The 19,739-nt window shown below is 36.9% G+C and overlaps 1 protein-coding gene and 2 long non-coding RNA genes across 20 annotated transcripts in view, besides 1 other annotated feature; 1 reads left to right on the plus strand and 2 right to left on the minus strand.

Annotated features, from left to right (window-relative positions):
• SGMS2 (sphingomyelin synthase 2) overlaps window positions 1-11,626 on the plus strand; it is a 90,485-nt gene extending 78,859 nt beyond the window's left edge. For 15 of the 18 annotated variants that reach the window (NM_001375906.1, XM_047449717.1, XM_011531701.3 and 12 more), the window contains 2 exons: window positions 5,144-5,310; window positions 6,929-11,626. In NM_001375906.1, coding sequence (NP_001362835.1) covers window positions 5,144-5,310; window positions 6,929-7,132 — 371 coding nt within the window. In that variant the 3' untranslated portion in view covers window positions 7,133-11,626. The remainder of the gene's footprint in view (window positions 1-5,143; window positions 5,311-6,928) is intronic. The other 3 variants (XM_047449719.1, XM_047449718.1, NM_001375910.1) reach the window with 1 other exon arrangement.
• The window catches only part of CYP2U1-AS1 (CYP2U1 and SGMS2 antisense RNA 1), a 68,641-nt gene that overhangs the window by 39,943 nt on the left and 8,959 nt on the right, over window positions 1-19,739 (minus strand). The gene's annotated exons all lie outside the window — the stretch shown is intronic.
• The window catches only part of LOC107986298 (uncharacterized), a 75,213-nt gene continuing 55,763 nt past the window's right edge, over window positions 290-19,739 (minus strand). The window contains exon 2 of the long non-coding RNA XR_001741784.2: window positions 290-7,128. This is a non-coding gene — a long non-coding RNA (uncharacterized LOC107986298). The remainder of the gene's footprint in view (window positions 7,129-19,739) is intronic.
• Window positions 2,929-3,514: an enhancer, noted in NCBI's record as "OCT4-NANOG hESC enhancer chr4:108827506-108828091 (GRCh37/hg19 assembly coordinates)". NCBI's record gives its function as "activates a minimal SCP1, AML or CMV promoter by ChIP-STARR-seq in naive H9 embryonic stem cells {active_cell/tissue: H9 hESC(naive)}" and the evidence as "EXISTENCE:reporter gene assay evidence [ECO:0000049][PMID:30033119]".

Raw genomic sequence — 19,739 nt, forward strand, 5'->3', positions numbered from 1 at the left:
GTAGTGGGAGGGATCCCTGGGCCCTGAAATTGATAGGAGCCCTTATTCTCTTGGGATTGATAAGCTGTGAAAGAGACGGATGTGTGTGTATATATGTATGTGAATGTGAATGTGTGTGTGTGCGTGTGTGTCTGTATATATATAAAATATAAAATTTCAACTAGTCATATGTGATTTGAACCCTGAAGGCTTAAAACCTGGCCCTGGCTTCTCTCTAGCATTTAACATGCCTCTAAAACATCTCCCTTCTTGGTTAGTACTTCTTAAGGTATGAAAAGCTATCTTAATATTGGAATTAATTGTTAATTTTATTGCAAAAAGGATTGGTACATTCTAAAGACAGATGTAATGACCTTTGAATTATTTGTAGGACACTTCCATTCTAGCATTCCAAATAATTCGGTTAATGTGTTCCCCTTTTTAAAACATTTCCAAGTCCCACTTTATTCTAATTTCATCATCATCTAGCACTTTCTGTGCTTTCATAGGAGTCTTCATGGACCATTTTGCCAATACCGATTATTTTCTTCTCAATAAGAAATGTGGTGGCAAGAAATAAAAATCTCTTTCTATATTTGTATGCTTAGTTCACATTATACAAAATCCTTGGGTTTTCTAGTAGGTTTTATGGCCAAAATCATGTCTTGTTCTTTGTAGGGTTGTACTGTTTTAGCTGCCCAGTAGGTCTCATTTTTATATATTTCGGAGGATTTGTATATTTAGGCCTATTACCTCAAAATCTTTTTGAAGTAATAATGCTTCTTCCTTCATGTTTGCAAAGCTGGTCAGTATTACCCTTCATATTTAGTTCCAAGTTACCTCATGGCAGTATTTTTTGGAGGTTTATCTTAATCCTTTTCACTGGGCATATTTAAAAGGGGGTCTTTCAGCAGAGAGCAGCAGAAGGCAGCTTCCCCTCCCCTGTCCTCCTTGTTCTTCCCTCCTCTCTTGGCCCTTTGTTCATCCAAATAGATTTATCCTAATTGGTGGTGTGGAAGTCAAGGGTTATCTTCAGTGGTGCAGAAGTGAATTATTGCCCCTTTGATTACCTGGGGTATTTAAGTTCTGCTTTGAGGGTAAGATGACAAGAGTTGAGGTTCTCTGTAGTAGATGAAGTCAAGTCTTTTTTGTGAGAATTGTAGCGTCTTTTTGTTGCTTCCTTTGTAAATTCTACATACAGACCTGCAGTAGGGAGAATAGTGGGATACATGTGGGGTCTTCATACTTGACTTAAAAGCTTTTTCCTTATTTCTGTTCTCACACTCTTGTGGTGGTGGAGTGGGTCCTGGATCTGTCTCTGCACCATCATCAGAGGATGGTCTCTTCCTTAAATTTAGTCACTCCATTTCTAATATTGAGTTATTGGTTCTGGGGGGTTGGATGGAAGGATATATGTTGCTTTGGTTCTAACTCTAATTTTCCCAAGGAAAGTTCCATGAGTATGCTATGTAAGATCAGTCATTTTCTAGTGTAGATGTACATTTGAGTTTAGGATCTTCTCTATAATCTGAGGATCATAAAAAAATTACAGAAGAAGATGGGGATGAGGGTGGAGGTGGGGGAAGAGGTGCATTTCAGAGTGAAGGCACTGTAGGTTTAAAGTAATAAAAACACCCCCAGGAAACTTAGATTCAGTTTTCTAAAATAACTGAAAACCAACTGATATTAACTGTATTAGTCTGTTTTCACACTGTTGATAAAGACATAACCAAGACTGGGTAATTTATAAAGAAAAAGTGGTTTAGTGGACTCACAGTTCCACGTGGCTGAGGAGGCCTCACAATCATGGTGGAAGGCAAAAGGCATGTTTTACATGGCAGCAGACGAGAAAATGAGAACGAAGCAAAAGGGGTTTCCCCTTATAAAACCATCAGCTCTTGTGAGACTTATTTCACTACCACAAGAACAGTATGGGGGAAACCACCCCCATGATTCAGTTATTTCCCACCAGGTCCCTCCCACAGCACATGAGAATTATGGGAGCTACAATTCAAGATGAGATTTGGGTGGGGACACTGCCAAACCTCATAAACAATAATAGCAAATAGACATAATACTCTGTCCCAGGCACTATTCTAGGGCCTTGATGTAAATTAACTCATTTGATCCTTACAACCACCCTCTGAGGAATGCAGTATTTTTTCCCATTTTTCAGATGAGTAAACTTAAGCTTAGAGAAAGTGACTTGGCCACAGTGCAGAGCCATCATTTTGAGAAGCAGGTATTCATGTTGAAGGAGGCTGAATCCAGGGGTTTTGCTTTTAATTTCTTGGCTCTGTTTAGAACTTTGGAAATTCAAGCTGGCTAACTCTATCGTATTGCCAAGGAATAGTCTACTTATCTATAAGCAGGGACATTGCTCATTATTGTACATTCTTTCATCTCAGAGCAACAGCAAGGCAACTTGTGATTGATTTTATACTTTAATGAAGGCCTCTCAGTATGTAGAGACATTTTTTCCCAAGACATGATTTTGACTAGAGGTTTCTAAAATTGTGTACATTTATATATAGTGTGCAAGGAATACCATTCTGCTTTCTCCAATATTTGATTAGAAATAGAGGGACAAATCTGTAATACTTAACACAAACTCAGTTTATAGTCAGTTCTGTATGTAAGCAGAGCATTCCATGTTTGTGTCTGTTTTTTTCTATGCAATTAGGAAAAACATTTATCTTCTAAATTATACCATATGTTCTTGTTCTGAGTAAGCAGTGGTTCCAGTGGTTTCTTTGAAAAGTCTGCTTCTAGAATTAGATGTATCATTTATATATATATTTTTTTACTTTCCCGCCTTTTGATCAGTTTGGGCTCTTTTCCTTGTTTGCTCTGTTGTCATGAGTAGATTTAAATTTAGTTGTGAGAGCACATGAAGATGTGGCACCAGGACCATTTCGGGGTTAGCAAGGGAGGGCTTCATACAGTCGTGCAAATATTATAATTGGGGGGTAGGTTCATGATAAAATTAGCCTGGAGAAATCAGACTAGCTGTTAGTGCCAATCATCTGGCTAGTAGAGAACAGTTTTTTGGTTTTTTGTTTTTTCACCTGGCCACCCTACCAAGTCTCTATTATTTAATGAGCCCTAGGGCTAGAATTCCACACAGACAGTGATGTTAGCTATTATTTGTGTCATCATCTAGCTCATTGTTATCCCTATGGGATGAATGAGAAGAGGATTACCATTTTGCCATTCTATTTCAAAACAGCTTCTATTCAATCTTTTCTTTGGGTCAGCCAGTGTTCTCAGTTAATGAGTGGTGGGCCCAATGTGGTAGCATAACAGGAAATACATTTTTATGAGAAAGCACTGCTGGGGTTTCCAGCCGTTCCTAAAACCTCACTTGCAATTCCGTGAGTAGTAAAAAGAAGATTCAGGCCACCTCTGGACCTACTTCAACTTTGCTTCTTGTGAATAAACAAATGCAAAATAGTTCTAGTTTGCCTAAACATTTTGAACTTCTAAGGTAAATCCCAGATGACCTGTAAGTTGGGAAGCAGGGTTGCTAAGAGACCTTGGGGGTGGGAGGCGGGTAGGGTCTGAGGTGCTGGGAAACGCATATTTAGTGAGACCTCCAGATTTCTCAATGTTCATTCAATTTTTAATGTCCTGAGTCTAACACAACAGTTATGGGGACTGGATCTGGCTCCTAAGACTGCAAGAGTAAGGCCTCTCCCATTAAAATTCTGAGATTCCATGAGTTTTCTTCCAGAACTTAGTGGCAGAATGAAGTAACTGACAAGTAATAAGGAATATATCCAAAATTAGAAAATCAGACTTTCAAATGCCATACAGGTTTATTTTCTTACTGTGTGCCATTTGGGACCAACAGAGCAACGGCTAGTTTTACCAAGAGATTATATTTGAATGATACCTGATTTGGTATTTCATTTAAAGTTCTGGAAATGGGCTGGGCGCAGTGGCCCATGCCTATAATCCCAGCACTTTGGGAGGCTGAGGCAGGCAGGTCACCTGAGGTCAGGAGTTCAAGACCAGCCTGGCCAACATGGTGAAACCCCATCTCTACTAATAATACAAAATTAGCCAGGCATAATGGCGCACCCCTGTAATCCCAGCTACTCGGGAGGCTAAAGGAGGAGAATCGCTTGAACCCAGGGGACAGAGGTTGCAGTGAGCCAAGATCGTGCCATTGAACTCCAGCATGGGCGACAAGAGCGAAACTCCCTCTCAAAAAATAAATAAATAAATATAAAGTTCTGGAAATGGATCCTTTTGCTATTCAATCATCTTTCTACATGTGAATGTAAATATCACTATAAATGTAAACATAGTTAAATATGAAATCAATTTCAGTTTATTGGATTAACTTTTATTGTGAGCTAATACAGCTTTAAAATAAAACAGATCACCAAGCTGCTAGAGATGAACTCTGGTTTCAGTTATATTTGTCATTAACACTTGTGTGAGAAGGGGAGGACCATCATGTTTAAACCAGTGAGTGCCACAGTTGTCTCTTACAGCTAGTAAGTAGAATGAACTTTTAAGTGGCTTTACCAGGAAGGCTGAGTCCATAAGTGAATGGTTAGGAACCCTAACCTTTACAGAGGGAATGTTTTATAGTTTCTATTGGCAATAACAGTGTAAAATTGCTGAGAATCAAAATATTGCTAGCCACAATGCCATTCCTTCTGACCCCCTTACCCTACACATACCCCTGGAGAAATAATATAAATTTAAAACCTGAAATTACTCCTGCTTTCCCATTTCCCCCCTTATTTTCATAGACCACCACCTTTTCTTTTGATCCCTACTATCTTTCTTTCCAGTGGGAAAGTGGCTCCTTTATGTGAGCCAGTATGCAGCAATTCCAGCAAACCTAATAAGAAACAATTCTGTTCTTTCTTACTAAACAGCTTATTCACGTGGGTAAGGCCTAGAATGTCTAGTGTTACCAGCTTCCCCAGTGAATGACTATTACGCCCGCTGCCAGGGAGCCCCTCTGCCTCCCTCCTACCTGAGCAGATCCTGGGCAGTTCATAGTGACTCAGTTTAGGTTATCAGTTTTATCCTTCTGGTGACTTCCTGATCCTGGGTTATTCTACTTAAGGTCGTTAGGACAGACTGTAATCATTACATTCATCTCTGGGAATCTTATTAACTCTGTAATTTTTCTACTGTCCAGATTCGCCTCGTCACTTCTGGTGGTATCATTTAATCTGCTGGCTGCTGAGTGCTGCCGGGATCATCTGCATTCTTGTAGCACACGAACACTACACTATCGATGTGATCATTGCTTATTATATCACAACACGACTGTTTTGGTGGTACCATTCAATGGCCAATGAAAAGGTGAGAGCAGTGAAGATGCTTGGATAATTTCTTTTCTTTGAATGCAGTGGACCCTTTTCATGTCGTGGGGTTTTAGATAGCCTAATGGGGATAACCGATGTTGCCACATTCACTTAAACATATATCCATTACTGCTTTTTAAAATAAAGCAAAGAACTTCACAAATATAAATGCCATTTATGGATAAAAATGCCATAAAGTTATGGAGCACAGTGCATTGCTAATTCAGGTAACTTAAACTAGAATGAAAAAATATATGTACTAAATTAAAATTTAGGAACCTTCTCTGTAAAAGCATTGTAGTGCAGCTGGGTAAGACATAATCCTGCCTTCAACTTAAATTAATTTTAAGGAGAAGGTAACAGCTATTTTTTTTAATTTTTTTTTTTTTTGAGACAGAGTCTTGTTCTATTGCCCAAGCTGGAGTACAGTGGTGCAATCTTGGCTTACTGCAACCTCCACCTTCCAAGTTCAAGCGATTCTTGTGCCTCAGCCTCCCAAATAGCTGGGATTACAGGTGCACGACACCACGCCTGGCTAATTTTTATTTTGTATTTTTAGTAGAGACAGGGTTTCACCATGTTGGCCAGGCTGGCCTTGAACTCCTGACCTCAGGTGATCCTCCCACCTCGGCCTCCCAAAGTGCCAGGATTATAGGCGTGAACCACCGTGCCCAGCCGATAGCAGCTATTGTTTAAAATCACACAAAATAAATAGCTTATGAATGACTGGATTTGGTATATCCTCTGGTGATAATGGTGCTCTCTGGCTTCCCTTCTGATTCTTCCTCATTTGCTACTGCTGCTTCCTTGTTTCCAGATGCCTTTTCTTTCTTCTCCCATTGAAACTTAAAGAGCTAGCTCAAATGCCACCTCTTCCAGGAAGCTGTCTCTAACTCTTGCTCTCTTCCTCTGGTCCGAAGGCAGAATTATTCCTCCCAGTCTCTCTTTTCTCCTAGTCTTGGTATGTGTCCTTGGTGTAATAGAGTTGGTCTGTGTACCATGACTTACTTATCTTTGAATAGACTTGCCATATTGTCAATTTGGAGAATTTGTGAGCAATTGAAATATTACATTTCCAAAGGATCTACGTCCAACTCTTGGTGTCCACTAATAAATGCTCTTTCTTTGGATTACTTTATTTCTCTTTGTAGCTCTGTTTCCTATTTTGTAGTCTCCCATTTCCATCTTCCTTCTTACACTTCCATCTAGTTGACTACTGACACCACTGAACCAAAATTTTCATCTTTCCTCTTAAATGTGTTCAACTTCTGAGCTCTTCTTTCACTCTTTGACTTGCTTGGCCCCTAGATTTGATCACTCACACATCCTGAAAATTATTCCTCCTGAATAATTCTGAAATCCATTCCCAGAGTCTCCATTCTTACTGGAATTGCAGGCAGAAGAAATTGCATGAGCCACAAAGGAAAGAAAGACACCTAGGTGTGTTAGGGGAGCGGAGTCATGGTAGAGTTAGGGAAAGGACATGAAAATCATTACTGCCATGTGATTCTGAATTCTGTTTTCCCTAGGTTACAGTGAATGACAATTTAAGAAAATAATTGGGATGCAAATTGAGAAAGATATGTCTCATTTAAATTTTTTTCTACCATTTACAGAACTTGAAGGTCTCTTCACAGACTAATTTCTTATCTCGAGCATGGTGGTTCCCCATCTTTTATTTTTTTGAGAAAAATGTACAAGGCTCAATTCCTTGCTGCTTCTCCTGGCCGCTGTCTTGGCCTCCTGGCTGCTTCAAATCATCATGCAAAAAGTATTCACGGGTTCAGAAGATTGGTGAAGACAATGAGAAATCGACCTGAGGAGCAAAACAAAGGCATCAGCTCTTACACCAAAAGAGTTAACGCTGTAACCAAAGGTATAGTTTTGTTTTTTATTTTAGGAGAACTGACTGGTAAATGAAGAAATGGACCAAATTTTGTGTAAACGATTAGAAAGATGAACAAAGTATTGCCCTTTGACTGGTTTTCTTCTTCATCCTGAGAAAGATACATTCTCTTGCAGCTCTTCATTCATTGGTGACAAGCCCCCACCCCGGGACTTTACTAATGAGCTTGTTAAAGAGGTGCCAAAGAACATATTCCTCCTTTCTTTATTCTTTCTCCACCAAAACCCTCTACTTCAGAATTTTTTCAGGATATTTTTCAGCCCAAGGTCAGAAGAATGTGTTAATATTTTAAATAAAATATCTGGACATCTACAGCCACTGTGTAAATAGAACTGCCTAATGTTGAGAGTGGTTTTTAGCATTAGGTTTAGCAAGGGGGAGATCCGTGGGTTGTGCGTCAGCTTTGGGTGAATTTTGTTTCTACCCTGTCACGGGGAAAGTTCGGGTTGAGTCCAGGAGTGCACACTGCTGCTGCCACCCAATGCGCTACATATCACTTTTTTTTGTTTTGTTTTGTTTTGTTTTTAAAAGATCATTTTATCTTAAAAAGGAAAGCTGATCCAAGTAAACACGAAAGTATTTGACACACCCCACAGATTTTACATGTGTGTAAATGTTTCACTTTAAAATCTCTATGACAGATACACAGGAAACATGAGATGGTTTCTGCTAATGAGTGGCCCTTGAGTACACACTTAGATGCTGTCTGCCCTGTAAATTTGGATCTGGTGCCCCAGGGCAGTCAACTCTTCTAGCACAGGCTGAAAACACGTGTGTGTCAACTGAGGTTCACACCACTTGGGGAATGAGCCTGTTTTCTTTCCAGGTCAGGCCCTGGTGTGAGATCAATTTTAGGGCTCCTAATTGGAGCACAGAAATGTATTTGGTCAAATTTCATTGAAGGTGATTTCTTCCTTTTTCTGTTGTACTTTATGGAAAAACCAAGATGGAACCTGAAAGTTAATGTATCCTTGCTTTTAGCAAGAGACTCAGTTTCTTATAACTAGTCCTAAGGACATATGCCGCAATTGAGTAATTTTACTTTTACCCTATGAAAATAACATGGTGCTGCACTATAATATACTCTCGGAATCAGTGTGTTAGTTACAGCTATACAGTGAAGGGGGATAACTGTTTCTAAATTTCTTTAAGGTGATGCCAAAAAATGGATTAAAAAATCTGATCAGATTTAATGTTACCAGATTTAGTGCATTATTTAATGCTATTGGATCTTTTGGATAATTCTTGGCTTAATTTCTTAGCTACTTGAAGGTTAATTTGCAAGACTTTTAAAACCTTAGAAAAGTTTTAAGGTTGCAAAGTTATCAACACTGGGGCAGAGGGTGGAGAGGCCAATGCGGGTAGAAGGAGGCAGTTATGTTTATATTGAAGGTGAAATTTTTCTTTCATTTAGAATGGAAAACATCCCCAAATGTATCATTATAAACTAGTCAGCCTTGACTACACAAAATTGACCTTTAAGTTGCTTGAGAAAAACACAATGCAAATCGTTCAGAAGGGTCAACATCCTTTGGTGCTAAAATCTTGTGTATGTTTTCAGAATGGCTTTTTCTGTATGTTATAGAATAATCACTAAAGGAAAGGTAGTTGAATTTAAAGTCATGAAGCAAGACTCTTTAATTCAGTTATTTTAAACAAGAATTAAAACCCCAAACATCCTTGGCAGGCTTTGAAGCACACAGAATTTTCTAGTATTTCTTATTAAATACACCAATAATAAACATATACTTAGTTTACCTGATGAGTTTAGACATAATTCTATATAATGTTCGCTTATATTCATTTATTAACTAGCAACACTTGTGCAAGAACAAGGTATTCTGCTTGAAAACACTGATTTTTAAGTTCCTGTTGCCCGATTGTAAAGAAAATCATCTGACACAGAAGCCTGGATTTTGCTCTCCTAACACTGGTGTTTTCCTTGAGCCTCTAATTCAAATAAAACAAACTGATACACCTTACAGCCTTATTCATCTGTGTCTGGATAACTCACTTTTCATCTATTGAATAAGAAAAAGTGTTTAAACTTAATAAAATAAAAAATTGTGCACCAATTACTACAGATCCTTGAAACAGTAAGCCTTGGATTTTAGTCAAGTAATCCAGTTTTTTTTTAATTTAAAAAAAACCATCACCTTTTAAAGAACTTTAAAAACACCTGTGATGCCAATGTGGACATTGCCGCTGCCATGTCTTTACACGCATGTGTCGTATAGCTCTGTCATCGAGTTGAGGAAGTCCATGGTTTGCAAATAAGGGTGGGGGAATCAAAATTTCAAGATGGAAAAATAAAACAAATAGTAAAACCCATTTACATGTAGGAAAGAAAAGTTGAGCTTCAACCCAATGTGCCACTTTGATATAAAACAAGTATGATATATATATAAACTGAAGATATAAAACAAGTATGATCTTGCCTTTGAAATCATAAATGTTTGGGGTACCTGTTCTTTGCCAGTTAAGATACATATCTTATTATCTTTGTTTTTTTCAAGTCTATGCTCCTGTTTGAAGCTTTTCCTGTAATTTAGGTTGTCTGTGAAATACCTATAACATATAATTCCTATAGAGTATGCCACATTTTTTTTCTAACTCATTTCAAATGAAATTCTCTCAGATTCTAGTTTTTGAGCTTGTCCACTAGATCTGAAAATAAAGCATCCTTTCCTGAGTCCACTTGAACTAATTGTGAATTTGTTACTTAATTTACTGGCATCTTGGGAAACAAGTTTTGCTGTGGCAGGAAGGCTGTTTTGAGAGTGAGCGTTGAGTCTACTCTGGTTTGTGGATGACATTGCATTAGGGTTATTTCCTGTATTACCAGTGCCCCCTTGTGGCAATATACTTTATGACTTGGAATGCAAACACCACTTTTAAAAGCCTGTTTTCAAGTTTTTGAAAGGCATTTGTTTTCTGTTGTTTGCCAATAATCTGAAAGTATCATGTGAAAGGAATTATTTTAAAAGCATTTTAAACCTTTCCCAAAGGTAAAATGTGCTCAGATTATAGGCACTTGTAATTCTAACCTTGTATCCATTTGATCAAAGAAAATTTGTAGAACATTTTTACCTCTCATGATCACAATCATTAGTGTCTCCCTTTATAACGACCTATGTTTTGTTTACTTTGAAACACCAAATTTGTTGTCTTGGTTTTTTTTACATGACAGAACTCATGCAGTTTCTTTTTTAGTTGAAAGTTCACATCTTGCCCCTTGAATAGTTTGAACATTTCTTTCTTAATTCTTTTTTGTTTTTGTTTTGCACTGTAAAACTGATGAAAACTTTAAGCCAATCTTAATGCACTAGCCTCTGTAGTGTAAGGAAGTGTGAGAAGGAGTTTCTTAATGAGTTTACACGTTTAAATCAAGCATATTATAAGTTATATGCCATGTGTTGAAGGCTTTTCTATTTATATATATAAAGATTTTTAGTATTTGTTTTTAGTGTCCTTGTGTTGCAATAATTTAACTCCTTTGACTCAGTTGCTGAAAATATTTCTTCTATTAAGAAGTGCTCTTGACTTCAACACCCAAACACTGAAAATCATGTCAATGTTACCCAAAGATAAGTTTTTATACAGATACACACCTTATAAGTTCTGATTTATTTTCTTACTCATTATGCTGTGTTCTAAATAAATCATGAATGAGAAGAGTGCTTTATTGTGAAATTATTTAAAACTGTCCTTTAAAAGAAAAAGAGGAAACGATGAACAAAAACTAATCTAATTGCCAAGTTAGAATTCATTATTTAATTTACCTCCTATGCAATGATTAATGCTGCAAAATGTATGGTTATGTTACCGTATATTCACAAAAGAAATATTATTACAAGGTTTCAGAGGTAGCCAATTGCATTCTTTTGGAAATTTACTGTACTGTTTCAATGTGTTAAGTGCCTTGTTGTAAAGTAAAATTTTAAGTCTAGATTCATTATTTTCCTGACATATATTTTTCATTATGATATCTACTGTATGCTATTGTGATAGTTTTATGAAATGCTTACATTTTAATCAAATATGTAAATTTCAGAAGCTCTTTTTTCCTACCCACCAGTACCTTAATCATTGGTTTATCACATTGGATTCAAATTCAGGTTCCTTTTTTGATAAAGAGGAAATTTGTTTTCCATGCTTGTGATTTTGTGTTTGTAAACATTTCAGGAGGAATTTAGGAGTGTAACTATAGTTTATACTTCTATAATGTTGTCTTACATTTACATTTTTAAGTGCCTAATTGTTAAAACTGATTTATGTTTCTCTTCTAAAGAGGATATGTGTACTTGGTTTCTAATCTCTTTGGTTTTGCTTTTTAAAAAATGCAAGAGCCTATACTTTGTATTTACCTAATAAACCACAGTGACATCAACAGTCTTTTCAAAATTAATATTACTGTTTCTTTCCATTTACAAAATGTGTCATTTTTAAAAGAGTTCTAGTTTTAGAGTACTTGTTAAAACCGCAAGAGGGATATTTTCTTCAAGCACTATTTTTAAAATAAAGTAATAACTTTCAATTAGTGGATTTAAGGTGAAAAATAATTCAGAACAATACAAGGTCATTCATGGAGAAGAAAATAATCACACATTCCATGATTCTGATTTTCATTGTTCACAAGAGGACAAAGTCACTCATGAAAAGCAGACCCCTTTCTGTCACTAGGTCTCCTTATGCCTTCACAAGACAGAAGCCTAAGGTAATATCCTCAACTGGAGTTTGCTAGACATTGCAACAGCAAGGTGCGGTAAGTAGGTTTTGAATCTGCTGATGACAAATGCCCCTCCTCCAAGATAAATTTTGTAAAAGCAATTCATTGGGGTGAAGTGAATAGGATAAGATAATAAGGTTCAAAGAGTAAGTTACAGGAGATAGTCCAGGCTTTATCCTTAGATTATCTAGAAATGATGGAGCATAGATCAGAATAGTTTTTCTGCCACCTCCACCCAGACCTTGGATGAAAAGCTCATCACAGTGACGTTCCCATCATCCTGTGGAAACACTGGCATGCTGATTTTGCTGGCCATATAGCTTCAAAGTCTGCCCTTATCTAGAATGCATCGTGCAAGAAACTAACGTGAACTCTTGTTCATCGTGCAAGGGACTAACAGGAACTTTTACTAAGGGGCTAATTCATTCTGGGTTCCATTTGTTTTCTTCATACAAAAGCTCTTGAGTGTGCCTCCTACGAGAGGATAAAACTCTCTGGGCATTTTTGAAAGTACTGAGGATAGTGAAGTTTTTTAAAGTAGTACTCTGTCTCTTACTCCAATAAGGAATCAATAGGCACTTTACAACTGCAGTTAAAGTGGCATTTTCAATCACACTAATCATGGGCAAGTTTCCTAAGTAATTAAAACCACTTTAAAACAAAAAAGAATGGTGATCATTCATGCTTGGTTTGAGATCTCTACCTCACAGCTGTTGATTTTAGAATTAGAATGTAGTGGTGTGTCCAAACAAGTTTTGCCACCAGGATTAGATGCTAGTCTCACTAGAAAGTGAATTTAAATTCGCTTACTTCAACCCCCATCTCATCCCCACCACATTTAAAGATAGAAAAGTATCTATATGATCTATATGTCTACTTAACGACAGACTCAGCTTCAAGTCTGTAAGGTTTTTTGATTGCAGGTCATTACAGTCTTGACCCTGCGTAATGCCTTCAGTCTCTCCAGATGATCATGCTATTAAGAGGTCGCCACAACTTTTGATAATATTCATCTTCCCTGATATTTTGAATCTCCTGCTGAGACACAGGAAGACAGGAAACTAGACTATGTTCACCAACCATTTGAGTGATTCTGTGTGCCATACACTAGAGCTGCTGATACATAAAATTCCTGACATTTAAGTGGAAATGTCTGCACTATAAGACTCGCCCATAACTCCTAAGTCACATCATAAGAATTTCAATTGCATAAAATATATGCAAGTCTTAGGAAATGTTTGTAAGTTTTAGGAAATGTTGGTCAGGGCCTTCATAGCCAGCTAGATGTTTCAGAAGTGGAAGTGAATTGCTTTTCTGGATGCATTGTCACTGAATTTTACCATTCTTTTCTATTTAATATTTTAGCAAAATTGCACAATAGACATCAAATTTTATCTCATCCAAAGGTTGGGAGAGGTCATATTTTATCTCATCCAAAGGTTGGGAGAGGTCATGTTTTATCTCATCCAAAGGTTGGGAGAGGTAATGTGCCATGGGCTCTGAGCATCCATCCAGCACATTTTTTGCTGGGCATGCTGAGTGCAAGGCCCTAACTCCTGTTACCCAGGCCATTTCTCAGGATTGTATTTGCAGTAAGCAATGTTAAGTAATGAGGTAGCATATCACCCTAAATAAAGAGAAGTCTTTTTTTCTGTTTACTGTAAAGCAGTAAAAATGCGAAGCTCAGTGGTCCTCAGTTGAGGTGAAAACCCACTGCATATGTAACATCTGTCTTCACCTCTCCAAGTCATCCCCATGGGATTTGAGAGACAAGGGAGCCAAAGGGACCATGCTGACACTTTGGATACTGCTATGCTATGTGTAGTGAAGTCCTTTGTCTCTGACTCAGGAGTCTTGTGTCTTCTAGCATCCAATGAAACAGGAACAGGCTAACTTGTGGGCTTGTAAGTAAAGTCATAGATGCTTCACGAATTGACATGTAAATTTTATTTTCTTCTAATAAATAAGAATATCAGAAGCATAATACTGTATTAAGTTAGGATAGTAATGGATTATGTATTACTGTGTGTGTATATAGATATATGTATATAATGCACATTTAATCCATATGTGGCACCCGTAATCAAACATAGCATTTTACAGTTAACGCTTGGCATACATTTTTTAATCTAAGTTAGGATAGTAATGGATTATGTATTACTATGTGTATGTATATAGATATATATATATATAAAATGCACATTTAATCCATATGTGGCACCTGTAATCAAACATAGCATTTTACAGTTAACGCTTGGCATACATTCTTTAATCTTCACAAAACCCTGTGAAGTAAGCAAGGCAAGAGAAGGTGACCCCATTTTATGACATGAAAGGGTTCATAAATGTTAGAGCTAGAACTTGAGTTTTGTTTTTGTGGGCTGTAGCTTGCTGCCTCCCTGTCGTAATTACTATGGTCACCATCACAGTTAGGGTTTTGTTAGGAAATTAGTTTCAGAAGCAAACTGTCCTTGGGACAGGTTCTTTGTCACATGCTACAGATTTTTCTTAAAATTACAATTTACTAATTTCAAAGGGGAGAAAAGTTGGCTCCTAGTGCAAAATGGCCTTGAAGGCAAAAGAACTCCTCAAGAATCCTCGAGTGTCTGAACCCACAAGTTTGTTAGAATAAAGCAAACTCACTGTCAATGAGTTTTAATGTCATATGTCTCAGATTATGTTTCCAAAGCCCCCACTCTGCCTGCCTTTCCCACATTGTGCACACTAATCAGATACATGAATTGTTTAGCCGTAATCTCTCCAGAAACTTCCAGAAAAGTGAATGATGAATTGCTAGTGTGGAAATGTCTTTTTTCTAATAAAAAGAGAAGATTTCATTCACTAATCTATGGCACCCTTGACCATGGGATTAAGAGTGATCCTGTTATCCCAGTCCCAAGTATTAAGTTGGTGCAAAAGTAATTGCGGTTTTTGCCATTGCTTTTAATTTCAAAAAACACGATTACTTTTGCACCAATCTAATAACTCCAGCTGATCCAGCACAGTGACACAATATGTTTAGTACCATCCTGTACCACCAACAAAATTACTGTATTTCACCAGTAACTAGTGAGTTGATTTTTTAATAACCTGCCTATATATTGGAGAGAATATCAGAGTTTGGGCAGTTCTCAGAGGATTTTGAGATTAAATTATATCAGAATTCAGTTCAAAAACAAATAATTGTTCAATATTGTTTTGTATAGCAGCCTTTACAAAAGAAGTGGTGACAAGTCTTCTCCTGGAGCTATATAAAATGAAATTGCCCAAACTGAAAAAAATTGCAAATATGTGGGAATTAACCAACACACTTAACTGGTGGAGCAAAGAAGAAATTGCAAGGGAAATTTGATAATACCTTGAGACAAATAACAAAAATGCAGCATACCAAAACTATGGGATGCAGCAAAACCAGCACTGAATGAAATGTATACCTACAAATGCATATGTTTTAGAAAAGAATAATGTAACTTTAGATCTTAAGGTACTTGAAAAAGAAGACGAAATAAAATTCAAAGTTAGCAGGAGGAAGGAAATAATAAAGACTAAAACAGAGATAAATAGAGAATAGAAAAATAATAGAAAAATCAATGAAATGAAAAGTTGGTTCTTTGAAAAGAGCAGCAGACTTGACAAACCTTTAGCTAGATTGCCTAAGAAAAGAAGGCTCAAATTACTAAAATCAGAAATGAAAGTGGAGATATTACCACTGATTATACAGAAATAGGATTATAAGAGTACAATGAACAAATGTACAAAAAACCTACCAGTACCGAATCATGAAGCAATAGAAAATCTAAACAGACCTCTAATTAGCAGGGAGGTAGAATGAGTAATCAGAAACTTTTCAACAAAGAAAACCCTGAACTGTGGCTTTGTTGGTGAATTCTACTATGCATTTAAGGAAAAAAGTAGCCAGACGTGGTGGCTCACGCCTTTAATCCCAGCTCTTTGGGAGGTTAAGGTGGATGGATCACTTGAGCCCAGGAGTTTGAAACTAGCCTGGGCAACATTAACAAAACCCCATCTTTATCAAACAAACAAACAAAATAGCTGGGCATGGTGACACATGCCTGTGGTCCCAGATACTTGGGCACAAAATAGGAGGACTGCTTGAGCCTGGAAGGTTAAGGCTGCAATGAGCTGTGATCACACCAATGCACTCCAGCCTGGGCAAAAGAGCGAGATCCTTTCTCAAAAAAGAAATAAAGAATTAACATCAATACTTCTTAGACTTTTCCAGAAAGAAGAAAGAACACTTCCTAATTCAGCCTGTGAAGCCAGTTATCACCAATACCAAAGCCAGACAAAAACACTACAAAAAAAAACAAAACTTAAGACTAATATACCTTATAAACATTGGCACAAAAATCTTCAACAAACTACTAGCCAACTGAATTCAGCAGCATATTAAAAGGGATATATAACAAGACCAAAAGAGATTTATTCCTGAAATGCAAGGATGGTTTAACATGAAAATCAATCAACATAATACATTAACAGAATGAAGAGTGAAAAGTACATGATCATTTCAATTGATGCAGAAAAAGCATTTTACAAAATTCAACATTCTTGCATGATAAAACTAAACATACTAGGAATAAAAAGAAGTTGCTTCAACATAAGGAAGTTATCATGAAAAAGCCAGCTAACCTTATGTTCAGTGGTGACTGAAAGCTTTTCCTCTAAAAGGGAAATGTCAAGAATGATCAGGAACAAGTGAAGAATGCCCAGTTCTCCACCTCCATTCAACATAGTATTGGAAGTTCTTGCCAGAGCAATTAAGCAAGAAAAAGAAATAAGAGGAATTGAAATTGGAAAGGAAGAAGTAAAATTAACTATTTGCATATGACATGATCTTATATGTTAAAAATTCAACAGAAAAACTTTAGATTTCAAATCATGAGTCTGAATGAAAAGTTAAAAATTAAAAAGTTAAAAATGAAAAATTTTAAATTGTTATATCTAATGAATGAATTCAGCAAATTTGCAGACAAAAACACACAATCGTTTGTATGCACTAACAATGAACAATCTGAAAAGGAAATTAAGAAAATAATATCAATTATAATAACATCAACAGAATAAAGTACTTTGGAATCAATTTAACCAAGGAGGCAAAAGACTTGTGTGCTGAAACTACAAAACATTGCTGAAAGAAATTAAAGATCCAAATAGATGGGAAGACATCCCATGTTCATGGATTAGAATACTTGATATTGTAAAGATGACAATATTACCCAAAGCAATCTACAGATTCAATGCAATCTCTATGAAAATATCAATGGTGTTTTCTACAGATATAGAACAACCTGTCCAAAAATTCATATGGAATCTGAAGGGAGTAAAATAGTAGCCAAATTGTTTGTCAGTATGCCCAAATTTTTCAGAATAGCAAAAACTACTGAAAAAGGAATGGTTGGAGAACTCATATTTCCTGATTTCAAAACTTACTCCAAATGTACAGTAGTGAAAACAGTGTGGTACTGGCACAAAGATAGACATACAGACTAATGGGATAGAATAGAGACCCCCGAAGTAAACTCTCACATATATGGTCAGTTGATTTTCAATAAAGGTACTAAGACCATTAGATGGAGAAAGGATTGGGGTGGGGCAGGTGGGATTGCTGTTTTTGTTGTTATTGTTTTTGTTTGTTTGTTTTGAGACACAATCTCACTCTGTCACCCAGGCTGGAGGGCAGTGGCACAATCTCAGCTCACAGCTACCTCCGCCTCCTGGGTTCAGGCAATTCTAGTGCCTCAGCCTCCCAAGTAGCTGGGACTACAGGTGCGTGCCACCACACCCAGCTAATTTTTGTATTTTTAGTAGAGAGAAGATTTCGCTATGTTGGCCAGGCTGGTCTTACTCCTGGCCTCAAGTGATCCACCTGCCTTGGCCTCCCAAAGTGCTGGGATAACAGGTGTGAGCCACCATGCCTGGGCAGCATAGTGTTTTTAACAAACAGTTCTGTGAAAATTGGAAATCTACATACAAAAGAATGAAGTTAGATTCTTACCTTATACCCCATACAAAAATTAATGCAAAAAATGGATCAAAGACCTAAATTTAAGAGCCAAAACTATGAAACTCTTAGAAGAAGCAGATGAAGCTCTTTATGACCTTGGACTGGGTAATGACTTATTAAGTATGACATCAGAAGAATAAGCAATAAAAAACAGATAAACTGAACTTAATCAAAATTAACTTTTTTGCATCAAATTACAGTATGAAGGGAGCAAAAAGACAATCCACAGAATGACAGAAAATAGCTGCAAATCCTATATCTGATAAAGCAGTTGTCTCCAACCTTTTGACACTAGGGACTAGTTGCGTGAAAGACAATTTTTCCACGGACCAGCAGGGAGGAGGGAGATGATTTCGGGACGAAAGTGTTCCAGCTCAGATCATCAGGTAGTAGTTAGATTGTCATAAGAAGCATGCAACCTAGATCCTTCGCATGCACAGTTCACAACAGGGTTAGCGCTCCTATGAGAATCTAATACCACCACTCATCTGAAAGGAGGTGGAGCTCAGGTGGTCATGCATGCTCACAGGCCTTCTACTCACCTCTTACTATGCAGCCCAGCTCCTAACATGCCATGGACTGGTACCAGTCTGCAGCCTGGGGGATGGGGACCCCTATGATAAAGGATTCATATTCAGAATATCTAAAATGATCCTACAACTCAGCAACAACCAAACAACCTAATTCAAAAATGGGCAAAGGATTTGAATAGACATTTCTCCAAAGAATATATATAAATGTCCAGAAAGCATATGAGAAGATGCTCAGCATCATTAGTCATTAGAAAAATACAAGTCCAAAACCACAATGAGATACACGTTACTACCATTAGGATGGCTGTTAAGGAAAAGACAAACACAAAATGACAAGTGTTGGTGAGGATATAAACAAATTGCATTCTTCATTTACAGAACCCATTAAAAAATAATAAAAGAAATTGCAACCCTTATTGTTGCTGGTGGGAATGTAAAATAGTGCAGCTTCTGTAGAGAACAGCATGTTGGGTCCCCAAAAGAATTACCATATGATCCAGCAATTTTACTCCTCTGTATTTAGCCAAATAAATTGAAATCAAGGACTCAAACAGCTATTTGCACACCAGTGTTCATAGTATTATTCACAGTAGCCCAAAGGTGGAAACAATCTATGTGTCTATCAACAGATGAAAGGATAAACAATGTGATATATACAACAATGGAGTATTATTCAGCTATTAAAAGGAATGGAATTCTGACACATGCTACAAACATGAGTAAACCTTGAAAATGTTATTCTAAGTTAAATAAGCCAGATACAAAAGGACAAATATCATATGATTCACCTTAAATAAGGTACCTAGAATAGGCAAATTCATAAAGACAAACGGAATAGAGCTTATGACTAAAGGAAAGGGAGAATGACAAGTTGTTGCTTATTAGGTACAGAGTTTCTATTTGGAATAATGAAACACTTCTGGAAATAGCAGTGATAGTTACACAACACTGTGAATGTACTTAATGCCACTGAACTGTACACTTAAAAATGGCTAACATGGTAAATGTTATACATATTTTTACCACAATAAAAAAACCCCAAAAAACTCCTGACATTTCAGCATATTTTTAATTGAAAGAAACCGAAAATAACTTAGATATTTACTAATAGAGGATTTGAGTAATACATTGTGACATACTTAAATCGATTTCTTAATGGGCTCCTTGGTTTGATCTTTGCCCCTTTAGAGGCAGCAAAAGTGATTTTGTTAAAATACAAGCCAAATGATGG

This window comes from Homo sapiens, chromosome 4 (assembly GCF_000001405.40).
Source record: "Homo sapiens chromosome 4, GRCh38.p14 Primary Assembly".
Lineage (NCBI taxonomy): Eukaryota > Metazoa > Chordata > Mammalia > Primates > Hominidae > Homo > Homo sapiens.